The sequence below is a fragment of the Homo sapiens genome, chromosome 10 (assembly GCF_000001405.40).
Source record: "Homo sapiens chromosome 10, GRCh38.p14 Primary Assembly".
NCBI classification, from domain to species: Eukaryota; Metazoa; Chordata; class Mammalia; order Primates; family Hominidae; genus Homo; species Homo sapiens.
The window spans coordinates 80,037,626-80,054,978 of NC_000010.11; the positions used below are offsets into that span (position 1 = coordinate 80,037,626).

The 17,353-nt window shown below is 43.5% G+C and overlaps 1 long non-coding RNA gene and 1 pseudogene across 5 annotated transcripts in view; both read right to left on the reverse strand.

Annotated features, from left to right (window-relative positions):
- Positions 2,639-3,473, reverse strand: C1DP4 (C1D nuclear receptor corepressor pseudogene 4; annotated as a pseudogene).
- Positions 8,608-17,353, reverse strand: part of TMEM254-AS1 (TMEM254 antisense RNA 1) — a 32,961-nt gene continuing 24,215 nt past the window's right edge. For all 5 annotated transcript variants that reach the window (NR_027432.1, NR_027431.3, NR_027429.1 and 2 more), the window contains 2 exons: positions 15,771-15,961; positions 8,608-11,553 (listed from right to left, as the gene is read on the reverse strand). This is a non-coding gene — a long non-coding RNA (TMEM254 antisense RNA 1). The remainder of the gene's footprint in view (positions 11,554-15,770; positions 15,962-17,353) is intronic.

A 17,353-nucleotide genomic window follows, 5' to 3' on the forward strand; every position in this document is an offset into this window, starting at 1 on the left:
ACCCGCTCTTAGCTGGTACTGTACATGGGGTACATATTATACATAGGGTATATGAAGAAAGAAATGAGTTCAGAAAGAAACATTTTGCTTAAGAGGGTGAAGGAAATGGAACAAAAAGAATACATCACTGTAAGGTAAGACCTACAGATGTTTTTTCTCATTTTAAATAAGGAAATAAAAACATAGAGGCCCACATCCTAACAACAACAACTGTGTATATACTCAAACCTGGGTTATGGCCATCACACCATTGCTTTAAAGCAAAAAGGTGCAATGTGGACAACTACAAGCCACTGGAGGGTACTTCGTCCATGACGAGGAAACAAAGTATTGAGTAAGACTTCACATTTCAAACATCTCTTCAGAAAACACTGAGGGTCAATGGAAAGGCCAGACATACACCATGGTTTTAGAGGGAGGAAGCTCACAGCCTACTCAGAGTTTCCAGGTGCCAGGACCAGTCCCCGGACCTGGACCAGATCTAAGGAGGTGGTGATGAAGGAACTTCAGACATCACATTCCCTCCATGGACCCCTGTGATCCTAGCTACAGGAGTTCCCACGATCCCCATAGACATTTTGACTTCCAGGGAGAGCCGCCTGGAGAACAAGCAGAGGCACAGCTTGAACCTGAGCAAAGCACAGAAGGCTTCACTGAGCTGTGCCGTGGTAGCAAAACACAACCATAAACGCTGATTTCCGAAGACGCTTCGTCTTGCACTGAGTGTGGGACCGAGGTGCATCTGGACCACACTCCCCCTACCACCTCACTCCCACTACCTCCCAGTCCCTCCCAAGACTGCCCACCTGGCCAGTCTCACAGAAGGATACCCACAGCACACCTCCACTGCACTGCACAGAGAAGAGTGCTATGTGGGTCCATGTGCCAGCATGGGAGCTGGGTGCCCCTCCCTTTGCAAGACTGGACCGGGAAGGGAATGACCTGATAGCCAAGGCTTCTCCCCAATGGGGTCTCATAGCTGAGAATGCCTGGAACAGCTCAGCAACCTGGATGCAGACAGCTGAGAACAAGCCTAGCCAGTTGGGCCTGCTGCCACTGCGAATGCCAGAGGGAGACTCACCAGGTCAGGAGAGCATGAGCTGGGCAGGCCTCACAGTCCCTTGCAGGGCTGAAAACCCCAGGTCACAGGTACCATAACAGTTGTACACCACTGGTGCCACTGCATTGCCTAAGTGCCCACAGACATACCCCACAACCCACTTGACTCCAGCAAGCACAGGGGACCAGAAAGAGGTCACTGGGGAGTTGCGGATCCTTTGGTGTCATAATCCTCAGAACAGTCCACTCAAGGTTGGGGGAGTGCAGCCCACCAAAGCCCCCTTTGGAACAAAAGAAACATGGTTGCAGCACTAGTCATTGAAGGGGTCACCATAAGAGCCTGGGATTGGACATGGAGAGGGCGTCATCTCTTGCCTCTTATCTCCCCTCCCCAGTGCACTGTTGCAGATGAGGCAGGGGCACTTCCACTTGGGACCCATTATACATGTGATGAAAGAGGCTGCTCCAACTGGGCGTGGTGGCTCACCCCTGCAATGCAAGCACTTTGGTAGGGAGAGGCAGGCAGATCACCTGAGGTCAGGAGTTTGAGATCAGGCTGACCAACATGGAGAAATCCCAACTCTACTAAAAATACAAAATTAGCTGGGCATGGTGGTGCATGCCTGTAATCCCAGCTACTCCAATGGCTGAGGCAGGAGAACTGCTTGAACCCAGGAGGCGGAGGTTGCAGTGAGCCAAGATCACGCCATTGCACTCCAGCATGGACGACAAGAGTGAAACTCGGTTGTAAGCAAACAAACAAACAAGAAAACTAAAAATAGAATCACCATTCAACCCAGAATTCCCACTACTAGATAGATGCCTAAAGGAAAATAAATCATTCCACCAAAAAGACACCTGCATTTGTATGCTTATCACAGCACTATTCACAAGAGTAAAGACATGAAACCAACCTAGGTGCCCATCAGTGGTGTACTGGATAAAGAAAATGTGGTACATACACACCATGGAATACTACACAGCCATAAAAAGAATGAAAACACAGACTTTGCAGCAACATGGATGCAGCTAGAAACTATTATTCTAAGAAAATTAATGCAGAAACAGAAAACCTAGTATTGCATGTTTTCCCTTGTAACTTGGAGTTAAACCCTGGGTACACACAGACATAAAGATGAGAACAAAAGACACTGGGTACTCCAAAAGAGGAGGAGGAAGGGAGGCGGGAAGGGTTGAAAAACTATCTATAGAATACTAGGTTCACTTTTTGAGTGACAGGATCAATAAAAGCCCAAACCTCAGGACAATTGATTTGCAGTATGTGCAAATATATCCATGTAACTAACCTGCACATGAAACTTCAAATCTAAAATAAAAAATAAAATAAAATAAAGCAATCACTGGATTAAAACTTCTACCAAGAGATCATTTCAGTTGTCTACACTACTACAGAGGAAAAATAATGTGTGCTTTTGCTACAACTGATAAGCTCAAAATAATTAAGAGAAAGAAGAAATAGACAGTGAATTGGGGAAGTGACTAATTGTATCTGGAGCTACATCCAATCAGCTACATTAAATGGCCTTTATTGAGTATTTTATATGTGTCTGTGGATGGTATAAGTGTGTTATTTCATTGAAAATAGTACAAATATTTACAAAGAATATTTCACTTAAATTTCACAGTTGCTAAGAAAATGGTACTTGCAAGACTGACCTATATAAAGAAATAAGAGTCTCTTCAAAAGAGATGGTAAATTGTAAATATAAAATATATCACAATGTTAAAATCCTCATAGTGCAAATCAATAAAGATAACAACCTTTGGAGAGGAAAGTATTGAGCTTTACAAATTTACTGTAAATTTACATATTAATTCAACAAGGAATAGTTTTAAACCTTGCACTGCCACAGAATTATTTTGTGGGAAAAAAAGAGATGTACTTTTTGAATATGTGTACATCAATATCAAAAAGTTAACTTTTACTTTTTCCTTTATGGGCAACTTTGGATGCATTTTTCGGTTTTGGTTCCCAGAGGGCATTTCTTACAAATCTTGAAGCTGCACCTCTGTCCAGCTTGCCAGCCTTTTTCTTGTCTGTTAATTCCTTGACTCTGTTCATATATACTCTGATTCTTTCCAATTCCTGCTTTACTGGATGTTCCTTAGGATTCACTCCTTGGGTTGCCAAATAAACTCAAAACATTGAATTTAATGTGTATGCAGAAACCAAATCCACTTTTGCTTGTTCAAGTGGGTCCAACTTCTGCAACAACTCATTTCTAGAAACAGACATCATGTTCTTCAGCATCTCATCCACAGCATCAATGGAATTCGCAAATGCTGACAAATAATCGTGAATTTCTACTGGAGAGTCATTAATTTCTTCAGCTGCCATCATGGCTGACTCACGGCCTTCGACTCCAGTCTCCTAGAAAGCGGTCAGGCAACGAAGTCTTCAATGAGGTGCCGGATCTAGAACTGAGTCTTTTAAAAGTATTTCTCTACATTCCCAGAAATACATTTGTTATAATTGCATCTTATGGCCTTTTTTTCAACAGAAGTAAAATTTCTGGAAGATTGGAAGAGCACAAAATTTAATTTCTAAATGAAATATTCAAGGACGCTTGTCATTCTCTCAGGCTCAAAGCCTAAAGAGGTACACCAATAAAACAAGATTCATTATCACATCGAAGATCATGGGGAGATGTTTGCTCAGGTGGTCACGTGATGTACAGAAACAGAGGGAAACACAATTGAACTAAATAAAGACGCAGGCTGGGCGCAGTAGCTCAGCCTGTGATGGCAAGATTTTAGGAGGCCAAGGCAGCAGATTGCTTTAACCTAGGGGTTCTACATATATATATAAAATATATAATATAAATATTTTATATATGCAATCCCATCTACTCGGGAGGCTGAGGCAAGAGAATCGCTTGAATGCCGGAGGTGGACTTTGCAGTCAGCCAAAATCTTGCCACTGCACTCCAGCCTGGGAGACAGAGCGAGACCCCATCTCAGGAAAAAAAAAAAAAAATATATATATATATATATATATATATATATATATGTATATGTATATGTATATGTATATGTATATGTATATGTATATATATAAAGAAATAAAGTCCCAATGTTTTCTACATGTGGAAGAAAAGGTAGAGTGACCCAAATATTTCTTCATCCTTGAGTAGTGGTAGATTATTTGTACTTTTAGAGAAAAGCACAAAAGGTAAAAGAAAAGCCTCTTTGGATTTACTTTTCCATGTCCTAAAGTACTTTTCAATCAAAAGTGAAGATCAATCAATCGTCTCAGGGCCATTGTAAGGAACAGCACTTTGTTTCAATGAGTAAGAGGGACATCACAGATTTGTCCCTCGCCAGTGAGGCGTGAGATATTCCAACCCTGCAAGCAGATGGAGATGTTGAAACTATCTTCAAGAAAACAGAACCACAGAACCAGGACTGGGCGTGGTGGCCCATGCCTGTAATGCCAGCACTTTGGGAGGCTGAGGCAGGTAAATCATCTGAGGTCAGGAGTTCCATACCAGCCTGGCCAGCATGGTGAAACCCCATCTCTAATAAAAATACAAAAATTAGCTGGGCGTGGTGGTGGGTGCCTATAATCCCAGCTACTCCAGAGGCTGAGGCAGGAGAATCGCTTGAACCCGGGAGCTGGAGGTTGCAGTGAGCTGAAATCCTGCCACTGCACTCCAGCCTTGGAGACAGAGCGAGACTCCATCTCAGAAAAAAAAGAGAAGAGAAAACAGAACCAGATTTCCCACTGGCACTGACAGGGCTGGTATTCTTAAAGCAGTAACTGTGAATTTCTATCTGAACACATTTCTATTATTAAAAGAAATAAAGAAAAGAAAAAATAAAAATAAATAAAACAACGACAAGAACACAACATAAAACCAAGAAAAAGAGATATCTCAAGGTTACTTTACATCACTAGGCCTACACCCAAGGGTAGAGACCAAAGCACCAGCTGTTCTTCAGAGAAGAAACACGATGATCCAGATGAAAGAAAGATGTTTCCCAATGGGTTCAGATGTCCTTTTAGAATCAAGGGAATGTCCCTAGTATATGCCAAATCACTACTTAAAGTTTATCTGGTGGGGCATGGTGCCTCATACCTATAATCCCAGCACTTTGGGAGGTCGAGGCAGGAGGATCACTTGAGCCCAGGAGTTTGAGACCAGCCCTGGCAATACAGCAAGACCCTGTCTCTACAAAAAATAAAACAACTAGCTGGTGTGGTGGTGCGCACTTATAGTCCCAGCTACTCAGGAGGCTGGAGTGAGAAGATCACTTGAGGCTGAGAGTCAGGGCTGCAGTGATTACAGGCATGAGTTACTGGGCCTGATCTTTTTTTTTTTTCATCATGTAATACATCCATGTAATGAAATTTATTTCTTACAGTGCTGGAGGCTGGGAAGTCCACAGTCCCTGGGCCGCAGCTGGTTGGCTTCTGGCAAGGGCCTCATCCTGCATCATAACATGGTGGACAGCATCACATGGAGGGAAGTCGCAGGAGACAGAGCCGAACAGGCTTTTATAACAGACCCTCTCTCATGATAATTCACACACCATTATTGCTACTGAACCATTAACCCACTCACTCAGGAATGCATTAATCCATTCAAGAAAGCAGAGACTTCATGATATAATTATCTCTTAAAGGACCCAAGTTTTAATCCTGTTACTTCACAGATTACGTTTCAGCAGGAATTTCAGAGAGGACAAACAAATCATAGGACCATTTTTTTCAATTACACTTCCATAAGAATTCCTCAATTTTACTTAATCTTTTCAGTGAATAAAGTATTTGATTTTGCAATTAGATTTTGATTATGGGATAGAAAGCACAAAGAAATAAACTTTTGTGGAAACCATGATTGTTTATTTTTCTTCCACCTATCAGTCTAGGTATTTATAAAACTCAACTTGACTTTTTAAAAAATTATAGAATGGGCATGCAAATAGGCAGATACTCCTCCATCAGAATCAGCTTCTCCTATTCTTTTTTTTCTTTTTTTTTTTTTTTTTTTGAGACAGAGTCTTGCTCTGTTGCCCAGGCTGAAGTGCAGTGGCATGACCTCGGCTCACTGCAACCTCCACTTCCCAGGTTCAAGAGATTCTCCTGCCTCAGCCTCCCAAGTTCCTGGGATTACAGGCACAGGCCACCTTGCCTGGCTAATTTTTTGATATTTTTATTAGAGACGGGGCTTCACCGTCTTGGTCAGGCTGGTCTCATACTCCTGACCTCAAATGATCTGCCCACCTCAGCCTCCCAAAGTGGCTTCTCCTATTCTTGAGGATATCAACACATCTACAGCTGACATTTCAACTATTATGATGGGCTACCAAGGGCATGAAGTGACAGAAGATCTAAGATCCAGATGGAGAACTGTAAGTTGATAGAAACACCAGTGAAATTTCCTATAGGAATTTCTTTTGGCCACATCATGTCTGAGCTAAGAACTATAACCCACTTTTCAAGAGAGTGAATACTTTATTTACCTGAAAGCTCTCCATACCTGGACTTCACCTGGACAGGGGAGGCTGCAGAGGGACAGGTTAGTTCCTTTAAGGAGACACCATGAGATGACCAGGGACTATCCAAACTATCCATATCCCCACAGCAGGCTCCCCACTGCACCTGGACTGCCACCTGCCACCCTTCTACTTCTCTCCAACCTTGGCTTCCAGCTGGAGCTGGTTGGAGAGTGGAGGGACTACACTGTGAGCCCTGGAGACTCTGTGTGGGGTACAAAGTCCTTTGTTTGCAACCAAACACAAATTATCAGCTCCTGTTAGCAAGAGACCATGAGGTGTGTGAAAGAAAAAGAAAAAAATCTTTTTTTTTTTTTTTTTGAGACCAGGTCTCACACTGTTACCCAGGCTGGAGTGCAGTGGCACGTTCTTGGTTCACTGCAACCTCTGCTTCCTGGGCACAAGCAATTCTCCAGCCTTGGCCTCCTGAGCAGCTGAGATTATAGGCTCAGACCACTGCACCACGCTAATTTTTGTATTTTTTGTACAGATGGGATTTCACTATGTTGTCCAGACTGGTCTCGAATTCCTGAGCTCAAGTGATCTGCCCACCTCAACCTTCCAAAGTGCTGGGATTACAGGCATGACCTACTGCGCCCGGCCTAAAGGCTTTATTGTCTATAACAATAAATAAATGCAAAATCTACGGATCGGGGAGACACAGGCTCCAGTGTAAGACAAAAATTGAGCTCCAAAGAACAAAAAGAGGTCCTGGCTTAAATAGGGAAAGGTCCTGCGCTAGACGTCAATATGGTCTGTACATGCAAATGAGGATTGAAACTGGTTCAGACCTCACTGGTTGAAAATAACTGTGTCTCAGTTGGGTAGTTTCTAAGCCCAAAGCCAGTGGTCTCTGTAGGGTGCCCCTTTCAGGCAGCTGGCAGGAGATTTCCAGCCACGTGTCTCGGCTCTGGTTTCAGAAGCCATCTTAGCTCAGAGGTGCAAACAGGATGTTTGTCTAGATCTGCCCTCTCCTGGGAAGAGGAATGCATGACTGCTCTTCTCTCACCCCACCATGGCCCCTTGGCTCCCATCATCTTCATCTGAGTGTCTCTTTCAGCCAGAAGACGTCCATCTCCTCTGGACGTCTTTAGAGCTTCATTTCACACTCCCAGCTTGCTCAAAGTTCCAATTGCCCCTGCCGGGGAATGAGGCCCAACATTCCCACCAGAACCAGGCTCAGACCTTTCTCTCTAGAGCCTAAAATACAATCTCAAGTAATGACAAGCCAATCTCAATTCTGCCTCTAGGCACTAACTCCCCATTCTTGGCTCCAAAGACAGGGTCACCTTCTGAAACCACCTTTGCAAAATTATGACAGTAATTTGAGTCTGACAAAATTGACTCCATCTTGTTTCTAACCTCCAAGCTATGCTCGGTCATTCCTGGACATAGATCAAGCTGCTGACTTTGAGAGAAATGTAGTTTATTTATTTTTATTTTATTGTTATTATTTATTTATTTACTTTTTGAGATGGAGTTTCGCTCTGTCGCCCAGGCTGGAGTGCAGTGCACTCGGCTCACTGCAACCTCCGCCTCCCGTGTTCAAGCAATTCTCCTGCCTAGGCCTCCTGAGTAGCTGGGACTACAGGCGCGTGCCACCACACCCGGCTAATTTTTGTATTTTTAGTAGAGACGGGGTTTCAGCATATTGGCTAGGCTGGTCTCGAACTCCTGGCTTCATGATCCACCCACCTTGGCCTCCCAAAGTGCTAGGATTACAGGCATGAGCCACCACGCCCAGCCCTGGTTCTGTTTTCTTGAAGATAGTTTCAACATGTACATCTGCTTGCAGGGTTGGAATACCTCACCCCTCACTGGTGAGGGACAAATCTGTGGTATCTCTTTTATTCATTGAATCAAAGTGCTGTGCCTTTGATTTTACAAGGTATGTTTCATAACTTTAAAGAAAAAAACATTTTTCTTCCTTATCCAAATGTAACTTTAGTAATTTAGTGAATGTAAACCCCATTCATTTTTTTGTATCTTTTCCATGTGTGAATGCAGGTATATATCGAAGAATAATAATTACTCGCTGCTTTATCCTTTATTTTCATGATTATCATATTATCAAACTACTCAATAACTCGATTTTTTACAAACAGTATGTCCGAGAACACTCACACAATTACACAGATCTAGGCCTTTTTTTTTTAAGCTGTCCTAGCTTCTTACATTATATGATGTGTCTTCTTTGGGCTCAGTGTTCTATAAGAATGTCCAAGAGTTTGTCTATGAGACACATCCAGTAACAGAATTGCTGGGCATCTATGACTTCAATAAATATTCCAATTGGCTGTCCAAAGTGATAGTGCAAATCACACTCATCACCTGCATTGGAGAGTTGCTCTTTACCTATTCTCAATCTTATAGTAAGAGAAGGAAGATATTTACAAAATGAAGTATGTCTGCATGTTATATGACTTGGAAATATGTGCAAAACATGCTTTATTCTGCAAATTAGTATCACATGACACAATTGGTTAGAATGTAAATATGAAAAACATCATACAATGTAGAAGAAGGAAGGGGAAGGGGGAATGGGGAAAGGAAAGGCAAGGGAAGGGATTATCAAAGTCTTTACAATATAGATTATATGATGAGTTTAGAGTTTTCAGGACTGTAAATTCAGAGTGCGAGAATAAAAGACCAAGCTTTTGTTTGGTTACTCTCTGTATTGCTTAAACTATCATAACATACATCATTTTGTAATTAATTAAATATTGTCAAGAAAACAAAATGGAAATAACACAAATTCTATGCAGTGGATGTGTTTTACACAAAGCCCCGAGGGAACCCTGCAGTTCAGGAAATGTTGCTCCTCTAGAAGGCAGGCGCCACTATGTGAAAGGCGCCCCCTAGTGGGAGGGATGCAGCCTGAAGCGCTGCACAGGGCAGCATTGGCAGGACCCGCTCTGATGGACAGAACTCCAGAATACTTGAGAAGTGATTCCACATCCTGAAGCTCAAAATTATGAAAATTGTTTCAAAGTTTGGGGCTTTTTTCCAAACACTCAGGTCAACACAAGGCATTCAACTTCTCGTCTGGGCACTCTCAGATCTTGTGGGCCCACGTCCAGAGGTGACTCAGTCAAAACACTGGTTCCAGGCAGCAGCTCTCAGTGAAGGGGGTGAGGAGGGGTCTGCACACCTGCTCTAGCACAGAAGCCCCCTGGGGCTCTTTACAGTGCAAAGCTGGGGCTGCAACTCCATCGGGAGTCCCTGTCTTCAACGGAGAAGCCTCAGGTGATTCTATGCCTTAAGTGTATGCAGGCTAGGCTGATGTTGGGATGTCCTTCACAGTCAGAGCTTTGGTGGGCTGTCTGTGAAAGGACACATGGCTGCTGTTCCAGCAGGCCACACATCATGGCTGGAGATGCTGTCCCGGTCGATGGAGATGACAGCTTTGCTGTAGCCACCTTAGACACCCCTCCATACAAAGTCTGGGCAGTGGGGTCCTTCATATTCTTGTACTGCTTGTTAGGTATCTTTTTTTTTTTTTTTTTTTTTTTTTTTTGAGATGGAGTCTCACTCTGTTGCCCAGGCTGGAGTGCAGTGGCGCAATCTCAGCTCACTGCAAGCTCTGCCTCCCGGGTTCAGGCCATTCTCCTGCCTCAGCCTCCCAAATAGTTGAGACTACAGGTGCCCGCCGCCACGGCTAGCTAATTTTTTTTTGTATTTTTTAGTAGAGACAGTGTTTCACCGTCTCTACTAAAGATCAAGGATGGTCTTGATCTCCTGACCTGGTGATCCACCCACCTCAGCCTCCCACAGTGCTGTTGTTAGGTATCTTCTAAGGAGGAGACAATGTCTGAGACAGGGACTGTGCAGAGCCTCTGTCTTCTGAAGCACAGATTGCTTTGGATTTGGCAACTGCTGTCATTTGGGGGTTGCCTTGCTTGCTGCCTTGGTGCTTGTTAGTTTTGTTCTCCATACTCTAGCTCCACCTTCTCAGGACACTGCTGCCCTACCAGAAGAGACCAGCAGCTCACAGAGCCTTCCTGAGTTCAGCATCTTTATGTGCAAGCTCTGCAGAGCCCTTTTCCTCAGGCTTCTGTGTGGATGGTTGTGGGATGACCTGTGGATGATGCTCTCTGAAGCCTAGCACCATTTCCTAGAAACACAGTCCTGGTCCCAGCAGTAAACACTTGCAGACTTCTCATCCAAGAGCTGCTGGATTTGGGAACTGGGTTGCTCTGCAGCCAGCTATGTTGCTGCATATCTTACCCAAGAGGCGTTTGTGGAGATCTGATCACTATTTGCAAAGGTGTGTGCCACAACTGAGAGCACAGGGACTCTCCATTACTTGGGAACATCAACCATGCTGCTGGGACTGAAGGGAAAGTGCCTGCTTCCCTAAATCCTGTGACTCATATACATTAGAACCTGATCCTGGAAGACCAGCTTCTCCTGGTAATTCTGAGGCTGAGGCTGCTCATGATGACATTCCCAACCATTCTGCTGATGTCCTTGAAAGAGTCAGTAAAGAAAATAACCTTTCTGTTCCTCCTGCTGCTGCCTCTCTCCGTGCACACCATGAACACAGCACAAAGGGGAGGGCCTTGCATGCTGGCTTTCCCCCATCTCAGGCTTGTCCCTTTCAGAATACTGAGGAGGAGATGCAGAAGGATAAGGAAATAATGCTGATCTACATCGACAAGGGCCATTTTCTGTATCACCTGGATACTCCAAATCACAGCTTAGTTTCCTTTTAATCCATAAGGCTACAGTTATTTGAGCCATCATGTTAATTGGGAGTCCCCTGTGTCTCCACGGAAGAGTGGCCAGCTCCACCCAGTAGAACTTCCTGGGTACAAGAAGTTCTGCTCAGGGTCATCATTGGGAGATTCCACCTGGTTTTCCTGGATTCTTGTAAATGGGTGGCCTTTGGCAGAGGAATCATGCAGTTCCCTGGCAGTGAACATTCTGTGTCTCTCTCTAAGTGGTGGTCTGGCTTTTATTTTGAAACCAGTTCTAAAGAGAAAGAACAGTTTGTTAATTCAATCTGTTGGTTAAGACATATTGTACAATGCATTTCCACAATGTAGAATTTTACAGTTAAGTTTAGTCTCAGGATGATCACCGGCTTGTTTCCTGACTTGAATAAGACACAAAGAATGAAGGCAATCCTTTGTGGGGCTGCACATTATGGAGGTTATAAATTGTGCACAATCCCAAAATTTCAACTGCCTCATAGTTGCAGTGGCCCTTTTGTACATGCAAACCTGGACCTTTCAAAATCTCCTACCAACCTGTTTGCAATCCTCCGCATTTGGAAAGAACAGACTTCCAGCCTTTCCCTAACTTATTTATTTTACTCACGCTGACCTACCAGGATAAACTTGTGATTCAATATACTCTAAATTATACTCTTAAATTCACTGTATTCAAAGACTATGCATAAAACAAGCAAGAGTTGGCCGGGCACAGTGGCTCATGCCTGTAATCCCAGCTCTTTGGGAGGCTGAGGCAGGTGGATCACAAGGTTGGGAGTTCAAGACCAGCCTGGCCAACTGGTGAAACCCTGTCTTTACTAAAAAAAAATACAAAAATTAGCTGGGCATAGTGGTGTGTGCCTGCAATCCTAGCTACTTGGGTGGCTGAGGGAGGAGAATTGCTTGAACCCAGGAGGGGGAGGTTGCAGTGAGATGAGATTGTGCCACTGCACTCTGGCATGGGTTACAGAGCAAGACTTTATCTAAAAAAAAAAAAAAAAAAAGGAACAAGCAAGAGTTTGTAATAACCTGGCAAGGCATCTTACACGTGACTCTAAGCATTCCATTTGACACCTCTAGTCTTCATTTTTTTCCCTCCTCCACAAAGAGAGGATAATTACACCTGCCAACCATAATCCCTAGGGGTTTAGGGGAGGGAGAAATGATCAACACTGTTTTAGACTCTCCATCCTAATAAGCTCTGTTGTGGTACCGCACCTAGAGCCCTACCATGCAGGTAAGGATGTCTGGGGGCCTTTTAATATTTGATCCCTCCAGGAACCCCTCTGTCTGCAAGTTCAGAATTGCTTTAGGTTAATAGCGCTTAAAGCTAGAAAGATGTCTGATCCACACCTATAATGACTGCTTAAAACAAAGTTGTGGGCCAGGCGCGGTGGCTCACCCCTGTGATCCTAGCACTTTGGGAGGCTGAGGTGGGTGGATCACCTGACATCAGGAGTTCGAGACCAGCCTAGCCAGCATGGGGAAACCTCATCTCTACTAAAAATACAAAAATTAGCTGGGCATCATGGCGCATGCCTGTAATCTCAGCTACTCAGGAGGCTGAGGGAGGAGAATCCCTTGAACGCAGGGGGCAGAAGCTGCAGTGAGCTGAGATTGTGCCACTACACTCCAGCCTGGGCAACAGAGTGAGACGCCATCTCAAAATAAATAAATAATAAACAAATAAATAAAATTGTGACCATGCACAATGAACCTGGCACCTCCAGATATACTCATTTTCTTCTCACAACACCATCACAACATAATTATACATATTTTACAAAAAGATAAGGTGCAAGAGTCAACTTGCACCTTATAAGTCAACTTGCACCTCTATAAGTCAGATGTTATAGAGCCATTAGGAGGTAGATCTCATGAGGACCCAACCAAAAGACAAGACCTCACTCTCTCATGACAGAGCCTCCTGTGGCCCTCCCCTCAAACATGCTTGCTTCCTGATCACATCATGGGCACTTTCTTTAAGCACATGCAGGCCAGTTCAATTCAGTGTAATTTGATTAGCCGTTATCTATGAACTTCCTTTTAGGAATCTATCCCTCTGACAAGTAGAAAGGATAAAACATAATTAAAAAGCACTTTTGACCATGAGCAACCCAACTGTCACAAAGTTAGAAATGTAAATAAATGAACAGTATAAGAACGTTCATTTAAATGTTTGACCAAGCCCAGGCGCAATGGCTCATGCTGTAATCCCAGCACTTTGGGAGGCTGAGGCAGGAGGATTGCTTGAACCCAGGAGTTTGAGCCCAGGCTAGGCCATATGGCAAAACCCCATCTCTACATTAAAAAAAAAAAAAAATTAACCAGGCATCATGTCCTGTGGTCCCAGCCACTCAGGAGGCTGAGGTGGGATCACTTAAGCCCAGGGAGTCGATGCTGCAGTCAACCACAATTGCGCCACTGAAATCCAGCCTGGGCAACGGAGTGAGACCCTGTCACTTAAAAAAAAAAAAAAAGAAATCGATCAGTCCTTCCATTTCTATCCTGGTTATTTACTTTATTTGGATTTTCTACTTATTTGCAGGAAAGCATTTGTTTGTATTTCCCTTGAAATGTTCTCACTTCATGAAGCTTTTTTTTTTTTTTTTTTTGTGATGGAGTCTCCCTCTGTCACCCAGGCTGGAGTGCGGTGGCATCATCTCAGCTCACTGCAACCTCTGTCTCCAAGGTTCAAGCGATTCTCCTGCCTCAGCCTCCTGAATAGCTGGGATTACAGGTGTCTGCCACCACTCCCAGCTAATTTTTGTATTTTTGTAGAGATGGGTTTTTGCCATGTTGGCCAGGCTGGTCTTGAACTCCTAACCTCAGGTGATCCACTCACCTCGGCCTCCCAAAGTGCTGGGATTACAGGCATGAGCCACCATGCCTGGCCTACTTCACGAAACTTTTATAAAAATTTCATTACACAATATTTGCCTATACTTTTCCTTTATTCTCCAAAGTTGCTTATATTCTTTGTTTTCACTAACACAATTTTGTCCTTCTGTCAAGCAACCAATATATTCAATAGTCAAAGGATAATCACAGATGAGAAATATGAAAGTCTCCTTAAATGTGTATATATAATCTGTCAGGGGATTAGAGAATATATTGTATGTGTAAATAATATAAATTCAAATACAATAAGATGTTGTGCTTTAACAATTTACAATGATCATATCAGAAAATCACCAAACAAAATATTAGTTCGTGCAATAAATGGTTATGAAGCAACTACTGATGCTGTGGGGTTCTGTGCCAAGTCCCGTGACACTATCAAGCCAAGTTCTTCCTCCTGCACTTCAGACTTGCATGCCTAACTTTTTACTTACTCCTTGGAGTAAGTAAACTCTTAGAAGTTTAATTGGCACACCAAACTTAACGTGTGCAAAGTAAAACTCCAAATGTCTGACACAAAAGTGCTCTTCTCCCAAGCTCCCCTGTTAGTTAAAGGCATCTCCAATCTTCCATGTCAAGCCAAAACTTTGGAGCTATCCTTACCTCTGGCATCCCCAATAACTCAGCAAACTATAAGCCGCTCCACCTTTAAAAATTAAAGGTCTTCCCAGTTCTCTAATTCCACAGCCAGCACCCTTGTCAAAACCATCACTGTCTCTATCCTGGAAAATTACAATAATAGCTTTTTCTTTTTTTTGAAACAGAGTATCGCTCTGTCGTCCAGGCTGGAGTGCAGTGGCGTGATGTTGCCTCACTGCAACCTCCACCTCCTGAGTTTAAGAAATTCTCCTACCTCAGCCTCCTGAGTAACTGTGATTACAGGCGCGTGCCACCATGCCCGGCTAATTTTTATATTTTTGGTAGAGACAGGGTTTCACCATGTTGGCCAGGCTGGTCTTGAACTCCTGACCTCAGGTGATCCGCTCACCGCAGCCTCCCAAGGTGCTGGGATTATAGGCATGAGCCACCGCAGCCAGCCTACAGTAGCTTCTTAACACTGCTCCCAAATTTGCCTCACAATAGTCTATTTTCCATAAAATGCATATATAATATATTCACACCCACATTGAGATGAACAACAACCAAAAAAAAAAAATCAAATTTTTTTTTTTTTTTTTTTGAGAATCTCACTGTTGCCCAGGCTGGAGTGTAGTGGTGCCATCTTGGCCCTGTGCAACCTCTGCCTCTGAGGTTCAGGCAATGCTCCTGCCTCAGCCTCCCAAGTAGCTGGGACTACAGGCACGTGCCAACCTGCCTGGCTAATTTTTGTATTTTTGGTAGAGATGGGGTGTTGCCATGTTGGCCAGGCTGGTCTCGAACTCCTGGCCTCAAGTGATCTGCCCGCCTCAGCCTCCCTAAGTGCTGGGATTACAGGCATGAGCCACTGCGCCCAGCCTAAAAAAATCACTTTGTGCTATGTGATAAAATGCTATTAAACTTTTTCATGCTTCTTTACATTTTCCACATTATCTATAAAAAGACATACCCATGCAAAGCTTTTAATATTTTACTTACATCAATTACAAACACAGGACAAGAGACTGTCCAGCCAGTTTTTCCCTGGTTGTAAAATTAGGATAAGGATTCTGTGCAAATGACTGCTGAAGTACACTCAGCTTATCCTTGGCAAATTTAAGCCACGGTTTTACACTTCCTCTTCCCCATCTTCTTGTTCTTACTTCATTATGACTGGTTAATGGGAGATCCTGAAAAATGTACAAACAGAAAGAGAAAAGCATTGGAGAATACTAGTAATATCCAGAGTGGGGGGAAAAAAAAGGTCAATCATTGGCTATTTCATAAAATTTTTAAAAAGTGGAGCCCAATCTCATACCTGTACATAATAATAAAGTTACTAATGAGATTAGCCAAGTGTAGTGACTCAGGCCTGTAATCCCATTGACTCAGGAGGCTAAGATGGGAGGACTGCTTGAGGCCAGGAGTTCAAGGATCAGCTTAGGCAACATAGCAAGACCCCATCTCTAAAAAAATAGAAGTTCAAGGCTGCAGTGAGTCATGATTGTGCCACTGCACTCTAGCCTGGGCATCTGAGCAAGGCCCTGGCAAAAAAAAAGAGGTAAAATAAAAATTTTTAAAAATTAGCTGGGCTTGGTGGCACATGCCTGTTAACCTAGCTGCTTGGGAGGCTGAGGTGGGAGGATCATTTGAGCAAGCCCAGGAGGTCAAGGCTACATTGAGCCATGATCACACCACTGCACTCCAGCCTGGCTGACAGAGTGAGACCCTGTCTCAAAAAAAATTTTTTTTTAATTAAGATACAAAGCTATCCTGTGTTCCTGGATTAGAAGAACTAATATTGTTAAGATGGCTCTACTACCCAAAGTGATCTATATCTTTAATGCAATTCCTATTTTTAAAATCCCAGACATGTTTTGCAGAATAGGAAATTTCATCCTAAAATGTATGTGGAATCTCAAGGTATCCACAATAGACAAAACAATCTTTAAAAAGGAGAACAGAGTTGAAGGTCTCACACCTCCTGATTCCAAAACTTACTACAAACCTATGATGAAACAATGTGGTACTAGTGGATGTACAAGTGTAAATATATTCTGTAGATATTTTCTTGAGGTTACCATTGCAATTATAGTTTGGTACTAGCACAAAGGCAGGCATATAGACTGGTGGGATAGACTAGAGAGCTCAGAAATAAATCCTCACAAACATGGTCAAATGATTCACAAGGGTGTCAAGACCATTCACTGGGGAAAGGACATTCTTTTCAACAAACAGGGCTGTGGGAAACTGGGTATCCACATGCAAAATAATCAAGTTGGGGCCGGGTGCAGTGGCTGATGCCTGTAATCCCAGCACTTTGGGAGGCCAAGGGGGCGGATCACGAGGTCAGGAGATCGAGACCATCCTGGCTAACACGGTGAAACCCCGTCTCTACTAAAAAATACAAAAAATTAGCAGGACGTGGTGGCAGGCACCTGTAGTCCCAGCTACTCAGGAGGTTGAGGCAGGAGAATGGCGTCAACCCAGGAGGGGGAGGTTGCAGTGAGACGAGATCTCACCACTGCACTCCAGCCTGGTCAACAGAGTGAGACTCCATCTTAAAAAAAAAAAAAAAAGAA